Source organism: Homo sapiens, chromosome 6 (genome assembly GCF_000001405.40).
Source record: "Homo sapiens chromosome 6, GRCh38.p14 Primary Assembly".
NCBI lineage: Eukaryota > Metazoa > Chordata > Mammalia > Primates > Hominidae > Homo > Homo sapiens.
The window spans coordinates 24,771,841-24,786,511 of record NC_000006.12 but is presented as its reverse complement, the minus strand read 5'-3'; the positions used below and the strand labels follow the sequence as shown (position 1 = coordinate 24,786,511).

The window sequence follows — 14,671 nt, the reverse complement described above, 5'->3', positions numbered from 1 at the left end:
CTTTGCACTATACCAATATGTGAAATAGAAAAGCTCCATAATTTTCAGCTATTCCTGATTTTTTCCGTCAAACTTCTACCCACTCCTCACTTTGTTTCTTGAGGATTATCACCATCATCCATCATTTTAAGCTTCCAAGAAGAGTCTGATCCTGCTAGCCAGTTGGGCCTCTCACTGTCTAATCAGATTCACTTGAAAAGCTTTTGGAAAATAGATTCTCATGCTCCATTCCAAAAACAACTTGTTAATATCAATAGTGTCTACAATGAGCTTGAGGTACAACAAAGTTTGGGAGTTAAAAACCTCAGCTATCTCAGTCTAAATACTTTAAGTTCGTTTTCTCCTTGTCTCCTCCAAGGTAGTTAGCAAAAGAATGGAAAGAGAACAACATAAAAGCATAGAAACAGACAAATTTTCTACACATACTCCTTATATTTCATTATTCTAAGTTATACACAATGTTCAACAGGAGTTTGAAGTTTATTTAGTAATAAACATAAGTCATGGCTGACAACTGAGAAAATCCTATTCACATAAACCATCATAGATTAAAAATACATAGTATTTGTACTTTAATGCAATAGGGTCCCAGGATTCAAACAAGGAAATTTGATTCCAGAGTTGGCATTATGTAGTTATGTACTCTGCTACAAAGAACTAGTGGAGGTAAACTTCGGCAGTAAAATTCTCAACAGTCAAATATTAATGCATTTCATATACATGGCTTTGCATCCGTAGAGGAAGATACAGTTCCTTCAGCACACGTGCCAATTTCTGAGTCTTCCACTAGAGAATCCTCAACAGTTTCTTCTTCAGAATCAAATTCCTGATTATCCAGTGATTCAAAATTATCCAGAGGTTCACCATTCAGTCTCTTTTAAAGAATAAACCAATAATTTATTGTAAAAATGTTAAAACCTAAGCTGATCAGCATACTGATATAGCTGACCCGTATAGCATACTGATATAGCTATGAGATTTTTTTCATCTTGCCCCTCAATAAATTCATTTATAAACAGTATTATATCAAAGTCTCTACCATGCTAGATCATAGTCAGCAAAGTCAAAGTGTTTAATAATTTGTCTTTTTTTTTTAAAAAGCACTGAAATTATTTCAGAGTATAAACAGGTACTTCCCCAATCAGCTGCAAGGACAAGTAGGTGTTCTACATTTCCAATCAGCTGTGGACTAATTCTTTTAAGGCAGTTAAGACAGCTACCACAGTATCTCCAAATGAAAACTTCAAATATTAATTCTATCATGGATCTCAAATGTAAAAGGTCACAATTCAGTTACATGAAGTTTTGATTTGAAAAACTTTCTTCCTATCAGCAAGAAAAACTTTTTGCAAACATGAATAAATAAATCTTAAAACCTTTTTAAGGTCAAGTCTGATAAAGCAACACCAGGCTAATTCTTACAAACATATTAGCTACTTACAAAATGTTTTAAAGTCAGATAAAACCACAAAACTCATTTATTGTACAAATTATCAATTTTATAAATGACAGTAATGTCAAGCTGGTATTAAAATTAAAACTATCTAAAATGTGTCAACTATGAAATAATTTGCTATACATATTTTCCAGGGATAATTCCTTTTAATAACTCTACCAAAAAATATGGTCTTTTGCTTCATAACAATAATTAAGTTACTGAACTTTCACTCTGTGCAAGTACTCCTTGCAATTGTCCATCTATTGTAACTCATTTAATTCTCATAACAAGTCTATAAGGTAGGCATCATTACTCTCATTTTGTGGATGAGGAAGATGAAGCCCTGACCGGATAAACCCACTCTACCCAGCAAACTTAATGGTGTTAGGAAGGAAGTTAAGTCTTAAATCCAGGAAATCTGATTCCAGAGCCCTAACACTTCAAAGTGATCACACTACACTACCTCAACTTTATAGAAAAATACATAAATTTGAACCAGATAACTATTAAATTACCTACCTCTATTAGCTCTGCCATATACTGTACATGTTCTGCTACTTCTGCCAGTTCTTTATTCTCCTTTTTCAGGCGGGCAATTTCATTGTCCTTTTGTTCAATTTCTTTATGAAGCTGTATTACATAAATAAAGTTCAGTATTCCATAGATTTGCTATGCTATAAATCAAATTACATACCTCCAAGTATATAACATGGAGGACATGCAGCATAGAATTGACTCTCAACACAACGGGATTCATTTTGTATAATTGTCAAGAGCTGCCTTTTTACTTAAACTTTTCTTAAGCCAATACTAAAGCTAGCCCATATTGCTCTAATAAAATATGCTAAGCAGCAAAACAATCCTGGAATTTTTAAAAATGGTACAAATTATACTCAATACATACTTTCTCATTTTCCTTAAGTGCTTCATACAGCGCCTTTCTCCGTTTTTCTGCCACTTCCTTCCAATACTGAGAGGATGGATTTTCTAAAATAATATTTTAAATATAACTTTAAAAATCATTACTGTCAAAACCCAGTAATTTGTTTCAAAAAAATTTCCAATCTTAGTACCCCCATATTGTTTAGTAATACTCATTTTTAAAAGATTAAAGTTAAAAAATAAAATCAATATTATTCTATTTTCCCCAACATTTCCAAGATTTCAATCCTTCAGAATTACAACAAAAGTACAATACGTATATATCTTCCACCTAGATTATTAAAGATTTTTGCAATACATTTGTTTTGTGAGGTCGTGTCTTTTTATGTAACACTGACATTTTTACAAAGTCCAGATCAATTATTTTGTACACTGTCCTTAATTTTTTATTTCTGTCTCCATGATTAGATTCAAACTAAACATTTTTGGCAGGAATACTATATAAGTATAGTATAAGAATACTATATAAGTATGTATCCTCAGTATATCATCAAGAAGCACACGCCAATTTGTCATGATACTGGAGATGTTAAATTTGATCATTTGATTAAGATGCTATCTATCAGATTTCTGCCTTGTAAAGATAACTTTTTCCCTTAGTAATTAACTAATGATCTGTAGAGCAAAATATTTGAGACTGTGTCAATACCCTGTCCTCCAACAACTTTTTACCTAAGTTTAATTCCATTGATGATTGATGTTTCCGGCTTATATCTATTACTTCTACGGTGGATGGAAAACCAATTTTTTTTCACTTATGTAATTCCTTCTACAAGTAGTAGTTAGCATTATTCTGTAAATAAAAACTTTTCCTACCCCAATTTAAAAGAAAATTTATCAGTATAGACTCATATATCCTTTTTTATTCAATGTATTATAATCCATTCTTGACGTTATTCATTTTGATGCTCAAATTTTCCCAACTGTAGTCTGTGAGAATCCTTCCAAGATGACATGTGTTCTTTCAACATGTCCACCCGTTTTTGAGTACTTCCTTATTTTCTGTCAAAAGATAATCCATGATCACCCAAAGTTTCCCTGCCCCTGACCTGGAATCAGCAATTTCTCCATGGAACTTTAGTGAAGAATAGTGTTTATAAACCAAGAACTGGATACACGGTGTGCTCCTTTCTACAGAGGTGTAGTTTGTTTCTACCTGTTTAGGGGCAGTGCTAGGAAATGTAATACTTCAACATGTTATTCATTTGCTCAGTCCTAAAATATACACAACTTTTTTTTTTTTTTCAAAATTACACTAATACCACTGTCAACAAATATAATAAAGTTCAAACAACAAATGTAATAAAGTTTGGGATTTCTTCGCAGTTATTTTAATTTTTACCATGTATCGCAGAGGGTTACAAGGATAATGTGTTCCACCTGTGGTTATATTACCAACATGATATATAGTTATTTGTCTTGATATTTAACTTTAGCAGTTTATTTTAACTAATCCTTGATTTAATTTTTAACCTAATCAGATATGAGTGTCACAAATCCTGCTCTTCAATCTACAATATTTTTAAAGAGCTGCTTTATTTCTATCCAGTCAACCTTTCCTAATTTTGCCTAATAAAAATCCTACCATCTATTTCTCTTCTTCCTGTCTTCAAGGCAATTCAAAATGAGTCCAAATGTTACTGTGACCTTCAGCAAGTCAATTAACTTCTCTAGGCCTCAATTTTATCATCAGTACTTAACATTCAATGACCCATAATTCATACAGAAATAATAATCTTCCATAATGCTTACAAAACATCAGTTGCTTCTTCTTCTGATGTATACTACCATTCTATTAAAAACTAGTACTTATTATAGGCATAATTCTTCTCATTCATCTTTACTCTTCATCCATATTTTTATTGGTTTCCTTATGCCATACTCTCCTGGAATATTCAAATTCCTTTCATACCTCGAACTCATTATCTAAACATTTTTCTTCTAAAAAGCCTATTTCCAAGTCTTGTAAACCCCTACAAGGCAATCCAATTATCAGAGCTGTCATATTAATAACTATCCTTTCCCCCTACCCTTTTTTTTTCCTTCAGAGACCGGGTCTTGCCCTGTATCCCAGGCTGGAGTGCAGTGGTGCTATCATACATAGCTTATTGCGGCCACAAACTCCTAGGCTCAAGTGATCCTCCTGACTCAGCCTCCTGAGTAGCTGGGAATACAGGCACAAGCCACCATGCTCAGCTAATTTTTTCATACAGAGAGAGCCTCACTGTGTTGTCCAGGCTAGTCTCAAACTTCTAGACTCAAGCCATCCTCCTGCTTCAACCTCCTAAGCTACTGGGATTACAGGTGTGAGCCACTGCACTGGGCCTCCTTTTCCTAACATTTCATCCACACATGGATCTTGTCAAACAAATGGTCACATACAAAAACATTTATAGTGCTGTTATACTATCCCCAGATTACAGTAATTGGCAGAATTCATAATAGTATTAACAAATTTTTCCTTATATCATAATTTAAAATTAAGACAAAAGTTATCTATTTTTTCATACCTTTAATCATAAGATCAAATGACTCCTGGGTGACTCCTCCAAGATTTTTATTTTCACTAGATTCTGGGACAATAACCCCAGGGCTGGAAGTTGTAGATGTTAAGTGGTCATTCCGATGTTTCCTTTTGGACAAGCCTGCGGACAGCTATAATGAAAACACTTATCAACTGTATTTACTTTGATTTAATTAACAAGAAATTAGGTGGTTTTTCATTTATGTATTAAAAAAAGAGTACGCATATCTAACTTTTTCACATCTCTGGATCTTTAAAAAAGTTATACAATTAAAAATTCTACCAAAACATATAGTAACATTTTAGGAATTTTATTTGCAACAATTATTTTGGATTAGACTGGGGTCAAGAGCTTAGCTGAAATTATTTATTTATTTTTTAAAAAATTTTTTATTTTTATTTTTATTTTAGAGTCTCGCTCTGTCACCCAAGCTGGAGTGCAGTGGTGTGACCTCGGCTCACTGCAACCTCCACCTCCCAGGTTTAAGTGATTCTCCTGCCTCAAGCCTCCCAAGCAGCTGAGATTATAGGTGTGTGCCACCACGCCCGGCTAATTTTTTTGTACTTTTAGTAGAGATGGGGTTTCACCACGTTGGCCAGGCTTGTCTCAAGCTCCTGACCTCAGGCGATCCACCCACCTCGGCCTCCCTAAGTGCTGGGATAACAGGCGTGAGCCACTGCACCCGACGAACTTCTTAAATTGAACAATTAAAACCAAAATCACTTCTTTGGGAAATATATAATTGTGATTCCCAAATTATTTCCAAATTTCAACAATTTACGTGTTTCTGACCAAGAAAATAGTAGAAATGTTTTCGATGTAGACACTGTATCACCAGTACCCCATTTTAGCCATATAGTGCATACCTCATTTTCTCTTCCAACAAGAGATCCAGATGCAGAAGGCTGAATCATCTTCAGAGTTCTTCTTGGGACAGAACTATTCTAAAAAGTCAGCATAATTCATTATCTTGTTACTGAGTTGCAATATGGTTATTTAGTTACTGAGTTTCTGTATGGAGTGTTACTCTTAGTCCTTCTATAATTTAGGGGTGGAAAAGGAACACTAACAACACAAACATTTGGTCTGCTATATAATTGCGTAAGGTCGCCTATGAACAAGACACTGGTTTAATCAACTGACAAACTTGTTATTTCCAAAAATTATAATAAAGTTTGAAGAATTCTTAAGAATGAATCATATTACCCAAACTAGACACAAACACACGTAACTTCTCTCATTTCAATGCATGCTCTTGCTATGGTCATTTTGTTAATCATATCTAGTTAAAACAAACGTAACAAAATTCCTCAGCTCCAATGAACAGTTTCAAACCACATATGACAAAATTCTAATACAAGAAGGCTATCTGTATTCTCTCTGAAAAAATCTTCCACACAGAAACTAAAAACTTACAGGTACTCTTTTATAAAACCAAACATCGTAACATTTATGGTATGAACTCACCAAACAGGTAAACTGGAAGAAATGGTTAATCATTTACACTGCAAAATATTTCTTTCCCTAATCAAAAAGATTCATTTCAGGCCTCCTTAAATCATGAATATCCCTCAAATACTTACATGTACTCACCAAAAGAATGTAACTTTCCAGAACATACTTTACACAAAACAAAGTACATGTGTAATAGACATCCCCCCTCAACCATTACCTGATAGTAGAAGCAGTTCTGCTTCAAGCCCATTCATTAGAAGGTGGCTAAAATGTCAGTGCCTGAGGCATACTAAAATACTCTAAAATGCCCAAGCTATTGTTTTGGTGAAAATATTGCCTTCCTTGTAATATGTAAACAACTTCCTGTATATTTCATGATCTGAAAGTTCTCTCCTATTTTTGCAAAATATCATTAGTTATACTGCCACCATGGGATAGCAAACAATGGTGAATACTCAAACAAGGTTAGCAAGAACATGATACCATACCAGCGTGAGAAAGTTACTGATTCCACACTGTACTTCACATGATAAGAGTTCACCTTTCCCACGGTAAAGTTTCTACTGCTGATTATTATCTCACCATTTAACTGAAGGACAAATGCCAGCTACTGTGAGGACAAATATTACATCAACATTTCAGATATAATTTAGATTATAGATTAGTCAACAGTCTCCAGACAAATAAAAGAAAATGTAACGTTGGAACCTTACTAACAAGAGGTGTTATTTAAATGCTTTCTGTTAATAATGGTCAAAGAAGCCAGCTAAGTAACTGTCACCAAAAAAAAAGACCATTTCCAAGATTTAACTTTTATTTATATAAGCTATATAGACTTTTGCCTAAAACAATGTAACATTACTATTATTATTTTCTGTATATAGAGTATGCATTGGAATAATAGACTCTTAAAGCCAGAAAGTTTCTTGTATATTAATGGGTCTTAACCTTTTTGGAAAACTATTTAATACTCTGTGAATCCTCTCCCCAAAAAAATTCACATAAAAGCACATTCACACAGAATTTTGCATGCAACTCACAAGGATCTAGTTCTAGTCCAGTTCTCCCAATTTACAGATGAGTAAACTAAGGCTGAAATGCTAACTAACCCACCCAAGGTCTCAGTTTTGGAGGTAGAACCAAAACCAAACAGAACCTAGTATCCTTTATATTCAAGATAGTTTCACTGTAGCTAGTAAACACAAGACTTTCTTTAAAATGTAATCTGCTGGAAATATATAAATTATTTGGCTGTGATTTGCTTCAAATTAATCCACTGAAGGAAAAGTGGAGTAAATAAGGACATAGATGAAACCAGATTGGCCATATAGCGGTAATTGCTGAAGCTGGGGAAGTAAATTATTAAAATACTTTTAAATATTTCAAAAATTTCATAACAAAAATTTTAAATAATCACACACAAAGCACAGTGGGAAGATGCCATCATCCTAAATGGAAGCTAATGGAATCAAATTCACAAATTGTCAATGCGAATATAATGTCAATTGACATTCTTATTCAAGAAAAATATTGTAAGAATCCTAAGAAAAGCAAGGCAAACAAAAAACCCATCAAAAGGTACTTGCTTATACTTATCAATGGCTTTTAGGTACTCAATTTAATTTACTTAATATAAAAAAAATTTTTTTAGGTACAGGGTCTTACTCTGTCACCCAGGCTGGAGTGCAGTGAAGCAATCATAATTCACCAAAGCCCAAACTCCTAGGCTCAAGCAATTCCTCCCACACCTCAGCCTCCCAGTAGCTGGGATTACCAGTGGGTGCCACCACACCCAGCTAATTATGGTTTTTTAGAAACAGGGTCTCCCTTTGTTGCCCAGGCTGTTCTCAAAGTCCAGAGCTCAATCAATCCTCCTACTTCAGCCTCCCAAGTAGCTGGGATCACAGGCATGAGCCACCATGGGCACCTGGCTCTTTATTTATTTAAAACCGCAAATTGATAGTTTACCTGAAGATGTGATCCAATTCCCAAGGTATTCATATAATTTAAGTTGTGTGGAAGGACCTAGCTAAATTGTAAATTAACTTAGAACCATAAATATGAATCTAGTCAGAAGTATAAACTCAAAACTAAACAAACTCTGTCCTGCTGTCATAAGAGTAAATACTTGGAATAAGATTTCCAGTGAAAGTATCATATAGGGATTGAAAAAGTATCACAAATCAAATAGGTTAGATGGTAATGAATATGGTATACTCTAGAAAAATGTGTAATATAATGCAAAACATGTCTGTGGTCAAAGACTCTTAATTCTGAAGATATACACAATGGATTTTAATAACATTTCATGAAATATAAGAGTAGAAACAAAGCAGTAATAATCTCATACATAGAAAATCCTAAAGATACTTCTGGAATCTTCACAGAGAAAATACAAAAAGAAAAGAAAATCCTGAAGAATCTACTAAAAAACAATTAGAACTATTAAGTTCAGCAAGGTTTCAGGACACAAAATCAAGACACAAAAGTCAATTATTTTCCTATACAGTAGCAATGACCAAATGAGAATGAAATTAAGGAAACAATTCCATTCACAGTAACCTCAAAAAGAATACTTAGGAAAAAATTTAACATAAATAGTGTAAAATTCATGCTCTGAAAACTACAAAATACTGTTGAAAGACCAAAATAAGAGAGACAACCCATATTCTTGGGTCAGACTTAATATTCAACCGTAATTAGTTTTTTAAAAATGTTCTCTATTGTTACTCATCCTCTGACTAACTCAAGGCTTACAGAAATTATAGCCAGGCTAAATTTGGATAAATTATGTCAAAATACTTTTAGCCCCATGCTTTCTACAAAAAAAAATTAAAGTTATTCAATCACATACCTTTATATTCTCTTTGATTTCTTCTTGTTTCTGCTTCATACTGGGATTCATTATGTAGATGGTGAAGCACAGAAGACTAGTAATTAAAAAACAATATGGTTTGCACCCCCGAAGGTGGAGTCTAGGTTTAAAATACTTACAATCATAAAAATTATACTATTGTACAGTAGAACTATTATTTTTTCTCTCTTAATCCAAACTCAGCCCTGTCAATGACTAAGGTGACTAAAGTTAATGACTCTTGATATCTATATTTTACATATATACACACATAATAATTATAGCTGAAAAAATGAAATTAATGTATTTTAAACCAATTTCTAAAACTGGTTTAAAATTTCTAAACATATTGTCCTGGATTAAATAGTCACCAGAAAAAGCAAAATAAACAGATACTAGGGTATGCCCAGGTCCATCCTAAAGAGCAGCATCTTAACTTTCCTGATTCAAAGACAGATTTAAGGTATAATAAACTGGGCTCTGACAATAACTTAACACAGACTTAATATCTGGTCAAATGAGATCATGCATTTACATTTGTAGGAAATGTTTAACCAGTAACATGAACTGAAGGACTAACAAGCAAGAAAGAGGGAAAAGGTAGAAAGGGATCTATGTAATGCGGTTGACTAGACCACTGGGCCAAACTCAGCATCTGAACTGCTGCTCCACTGCCCACTGCCCACTGCCCACTACCCATTGGCCCCTGCCGTGTCTGCGCCTGTGCCTCGTCGATAGATGTCCCTAATTTTTGTGGCCATGCCTTTACTCAGTGCAGTGGCTTCTAACATTAATACATTTTACCTTGTGTCCTGGCGCGTGCACACACATGTGCAAACAAAAAAGCTTAGGAAAGGCCGGGCGTGGTGGCTCACATCTGTAATCCCAGCACTTTGGGAGGTCGAGGCAGGCGGATCACCTGCATGATCACCAAAGTGCTGGAAGGTCGAGGCAAGCGGATCACCTGAGGTCAGAAGTTCGAAACCAGCCTGGCCAATATGGTGAAACTCCATCTCTACCAAAAATACAAAAATTAGCCGGACGTGGTGGTGCTCGTCTGTAGTCCCAGCTACTCGGGAGGCTGAGGCAGGAGTATCGCTTGAACCCGACAGGTGGAGGTGGCAGTGAGCCGAGATCCTGCCACTGCACTCCAGCCTGGGCAACAGAGCGAGACTCCGTCTCAAAAAAAAAAAAAGCTTAGAAAACAAAACAATCTAATTTGTGCGGGCATCCTGCTATTTTCTACTCTATTTCATGTTAAGAAAATGGTGTTCGGGCCCCAGTAAACAGACCCTACGCAATGTTCTTCAAACTGCGGGTCGCGGGCCGTGATCTCGAAATTAGTGAGTCATGAGCAACACTGCTTAGAAAAATGCAACTGAACAGAATGGAATTGAAGAGACGAGAAACATTGCTTCCATCACGTCTCATTTGGTTAGATAGCTGTGTCCTAGGTTGCGACGTAAAACGTACCTTAGTGTGAAAAAAGCTGAAAGCCACTTAGCATTCTAATCCTTCACAAGTTTCCCACGCCTGTCAGCGACCTTGCAACCCTTACTTGTTATTCTCCAGTTCCTTTAATAGCTAGATTAAAAACCCTGGCACAGGACAGGGTCCATGCGAAACCCGTATCAACAACGCCAGTATCCGTTTAATGGGAGACGCAGAATTCAGCCACCTCTTTCCATGAGCCAAATTTGCAGATCCCTCAGATCAGGACCAGCCACTTAACTGCCAAGAGGATGGATGCTTCGCCTCATCCCCACAGCTGGCAAGCCCAGGCTGAGTCCCTTACCCGCGTTGCAGTCCCCAAGCCCGGACCCAGCCAACTTGTCCCGGAGGCCCAGCGCCAGGCTAGGGGGCGGGCAGTGTGGCCCCGCGCGTCCGAGCCTACCAACCGCGGCGCGCGCCTCGGGAACTGCGCCAGCCAGCCAATAGGAAGCGCGGAAGTGAGAGCGCGCCAAAACCGACCCAGCCAATGGGGCAGTCCCTCGACTCACCTCCCAACCCCGCCCCGGCTCCCGCGACCGTTCAACAACCCCTTCGCCCTTACCCAGGCCGCGGCCCTGCAGCTGTCAAAGTAGGACGCGGCTTCAGAGGTTGGCCGGAGGGAAAGCGAGTCGTCTAGAGGCTGTGCGCCTTGCGCCCCTGCGTACCCACTTCCTGCCGCCTCTTGCCCACTTACTGGGTGGAGACGCTCAATCCTCGTAGCGAACGCACGTAGCTATGGCTGCAGCACCTCGCAAAAGGCCACAGCTCACCTACGCTGATCCCCACGGTCGCTGGAGTGCCCGGCGCGCTCTGCAGTAAAGCCCTGCTAACTCCGCTCGCCCGCTCCGAACAACCACGTGACCAACTGACGCAGACGAGGGGCGGGGCCTCTGGATCCCGCGAATCGCCTCTTCCCTCGGCCCCGCCCCTTCCTGCGCCTGCGCGGTCAACGGTAGCGAGTACTTGAGGACCGTGGGGGTTTTCTGCGGGCTGGGAGGCCTGTGCCCTTTGACCCTCCCCTCCGACCCTGCTCTTGGAACTTCCTTAAAATGCAAAGTTTTAGCCCTTTACGAAAGGGAGAAAGATTTGCCTCCATTAGTCGTTAGCACCAGAAGAACAAAATATTGTATGTGCATATATATTAATATGTAGTACACGACATATATTTGTGTAAAGCCCTGGCTCCACGGACTCGTAGTTGTATTAGGGGCTTTTATATTTTGGCTTTTTGTGTTTTGACTATGGTGTGGTGCGGTAGGAATTGTTCAGGAGACAACCGATTATCAGTTAATCCTGCAGCTATTCATTGAGCGCCTTATACGTGCCAATTACTACTGTTCTAGGCACTGAAATTACAACTGCTGTTGCAATTTGAAGGAGCAGAAACACCTTGGTAATAATTACGTCTAGCCTTTTCCTTCTTTTTTTTTTTTTTAATTGAAACGGAGTCTCGCTCTGTCACCCAGGCTGGAGTGCAGTGGCGCGATCTCGGCTCACTGCAAGCTCCGCCTCCCGGGTTCAAGCGATTCTCCTGCCTCAGCCTCCCGAGTAGCTGGGACTACAGACAAAGGGAGACCCTGTCTCAAAAAAAAATTAATTTTAAAATATTTTAAAAATAAAAAGCAGAAGGAAGGCGTTATCGAGTACAAATAAGGGACATATTACCAAATGCAATGTATGGATCTCGTCTGAACTAAACACTGTATTTAAAAAAATACCCAAGGGAAATTTGAACACTGACTGAATATTTTGGGATGGTAAGATATGAGTTGTTTAAGGTTACCTGATGAGCAATGGGTTAAAAAAAGAGATTAGTTGTAATGACAATATTGTGGGTTTTATTGTAATAGCTTCTACCTATAAATGGTAATTACAGATGAAATTTTATACCATATATTTTATTTGAAATAATTATTGAGAGAAGCAAGGGAAAAGGTATAAATCAAGCTTTCTCAGTATGGGCTCTATTGACATTTTAGACTGGGCAAATTGTTCGTGGTGGGGGCTGTCCTGGGCATTGTATGCTGTTTAGCAGTATCCCTGGCCTCTACCCTCTAGCTACCAGGAGTACATCCCAATTGTGAAGACCAAAAATGTCTGCAGACCTTGTCAGATAACCTTCCGCAGGGCAAAATCATCCCCAGTTGAGAACCACTGGTGCGAATAAAACAGTATTGGCCTTGTGTTGATAACTGCTGAGGCTAGTATGGATGAGTACATGAAGATTTTTTATTCACTCCCTCTACTTTTATATCTGTTTGGGATTTTCAATAATAATTTTTTTTTTTGAGACGGAGTCTTGCACTGTCACCAGGGCTGGAGTGCAATGGTGCAACCTCGGCTTACTGCAACCTCTGCCCCCCCCGGGTTCAAGCGATTCTCCTGCCTCAGCCTCCCAAGTAGCTGGGATTACAGGTGCCCGCCACCACACCCAGCTAATTTTTTGTAGTTTTAGTAGAGACAGGGTTTCACTATGTTGGCCAGGCTGGTCTTGAACTCCTGATCGTGTGATCTGCCCACCTTGGCCTCCCAAAGTGCTGGGATTACAGGCGTGAACCACTGCACCTGGCCAATAATAAAATTTTTAAAATATTAATTTAAAAAGGATTAAATGATGGGATAAGGAGGTAGAAATACTGGAAAATGTTTAGCCATAAAAATTTCAGCAACCACTAGGCACCATGGCTCATGCCTGTAATCCCAGCACTTTGGGAGGCTGAGGCTGGCGGATCACCCTGAGGTCAGGAGTTCAAGACCAACCTGGCCAACATGGTGAAACCCTGTCTCTACTAAAAATACAAAAATTATCCAGGCATGGTGGCATGCGTCTGTAATCCCAGCTACTCAGGAGGCAGAGGCAGGAGAATAGCTTGAACCCAGGTGGTGGAGGTTGCAGTAAGCCAAGATCACACTACCACAATCTAGCCCAGGTGACAGAGTGAGACTCTATCTCAAAAACAAAACAAAACAAAACAAAACAAAACTTTAGCAACCACAAATATTTACACCAATTTTTTTATTTTTATTTTTATTCAGATGGATAAATAATAATTACATTGCACCAATTTATTTTTTGACAAACCATTTCTTTGATGAGTATAAGCACAGCTAAGAGAAGTGAAATGATGAAACACATTACTAATGAAGGTTTTGGGACTTGAGACTCAGATGATGTTAAGAATAATATACTCAGGATTGGCCGGGTGCAGTGGCTCACCCTGTAATCCCAGCACTTTGGGAGGCCGAGGCGGGTGGATCACGAGGTCAGGAGATCGAGACCATCCTGGCTAACATGGTGAAACCCCATCTCTACTAAAAACACAAAAAAAAGTTAGCCGGGCATGGTGGCAGGTGCCTGTAGTCCCAGCTACTCAGGAAGCTGAGGCAGGAGAACGGCGTGAACCCAGGAGGCAGAGCTTGCAGTGAGCGGAGATCGCGCCACTGCACTCCAGCCTGGGCGACAGAGTGAGACTACGTCTCAAACAAAAAGAAAAAAAAAAAGAATAATATACTCAGGATCTTCAGGGGATTATTTTAGTGCAGAATTATTTAAAGGATTGAAGATGGTCTAGAAGGTGGCCCCTGGGCATTAAATATGTTTTGTTTCACATACACAATTGTGGCCTACACATTGTCTTAAAATGGAAATTGTCTGTATTTTAAAAATCGGATGATTTCCATAAGCAAAGACAAATGATAAAGTAAGAGAAAATATAGGGAATTTCTTTTACACATAAAAGACTACATTCCCTAATTTTTAAAGAGCTATAAAACATTGAGAGGGAGAAGCCAACAGCCCAATAGATAAATCGGCAAAAGACAGGAATGGACGGTTCAGAGAAAACGATAGAGGAATGGTCCTTAAACATACAAAACCATGCTCAACTTTACTGAGAATAAGAGACATGCAAATTAAAACTCTGAAAAACTATTTCAACTATCAGACTAGCAGCTATAGAAAAGCTT

The 14,671-nt window shown here is 38.0% G+C and overlaps 1 protein-coding gene across 6 annotated transcripts, besides 1 other annotated feature; it reads right to left on the bottom strand.

Annotated features, from left to right (window-relative positions):
- GMNN (geminin DNA replication inhibitor) lies at positions 413-11,575 on the bottom strand. 6 transcript variants are annotated; one of them, XM_005249159.3, is made up of 7 exons: positions 10,688-11,575; positions 9,215-9,290; positions 5,772-5,849; positions 4,891-5,035; positions 2,343-2,425; positions 1,958-2,068; positions 413-874 (listed from the first exon to the last, which is right to left on the bottom strand). In XM_005249159.3, the coding sequence occupies exons 2-7, from the start codon at positions 9,263-9,265 to the stop codon at positions 713-715; spliced, it is 630 nt and encodes a 209-aa protein (XP_005249216.1). In that variant the 5' UTR covers positions 9,266-9,290; positions 10,688-11,575; the 3' UTR covers positions 413-712. The 6 variants fall into 6 exon arrangements, with proteins under 6 accessions (XP_005249216.1, NP_056979.1, NP_001238918.1 ...); NM_015895.5 differs by having other exon boundaries at positions 11,268-11,575; NM_001251989.2 differs by having other exon boundaries at positions 11,400-11,575.
- Positions 10,581-10,660: an enhancer, noted in NCBI's record as "active region_24158". NCBI's record gives its function as "activates an Ori minimal core promoter by ATAC-STARR-seq in GM12878 lymphoblastoid cells {active_cell/tissue: GM12878}" and the evidence as "EXISTENCE:reporter gene assay evidence [ECO:0000049][PMID:35858748]".

What these genes read in the sequence shown, in the direction of transcription:
- GMNN (XM_005249159.3), bottom strand. Translation starts at nt 9,265, where the DNA reads ATGAATCCCAGTATGAAGCAGAAACAAGAAGAAATCAAAGAGAATATA. An exon ending in ATTTGATCTTATGATTAAAG is followed by an intron (nt 2,426 to 4,890) that starts GTATGAAAAAAT and finishes ATATTATTTTAG; the next exon opens with AAAATCCATCCTCTCAGTAT. An exon ending in ATATGGCAGAGCTAATAGAG is followed by an intron (nt 875 to 1,957) that starts GTAGGTAATTTA and finishes ATTCTTTAAAAG; the next exon opens with AGACTGAATGGTGAACCTCT.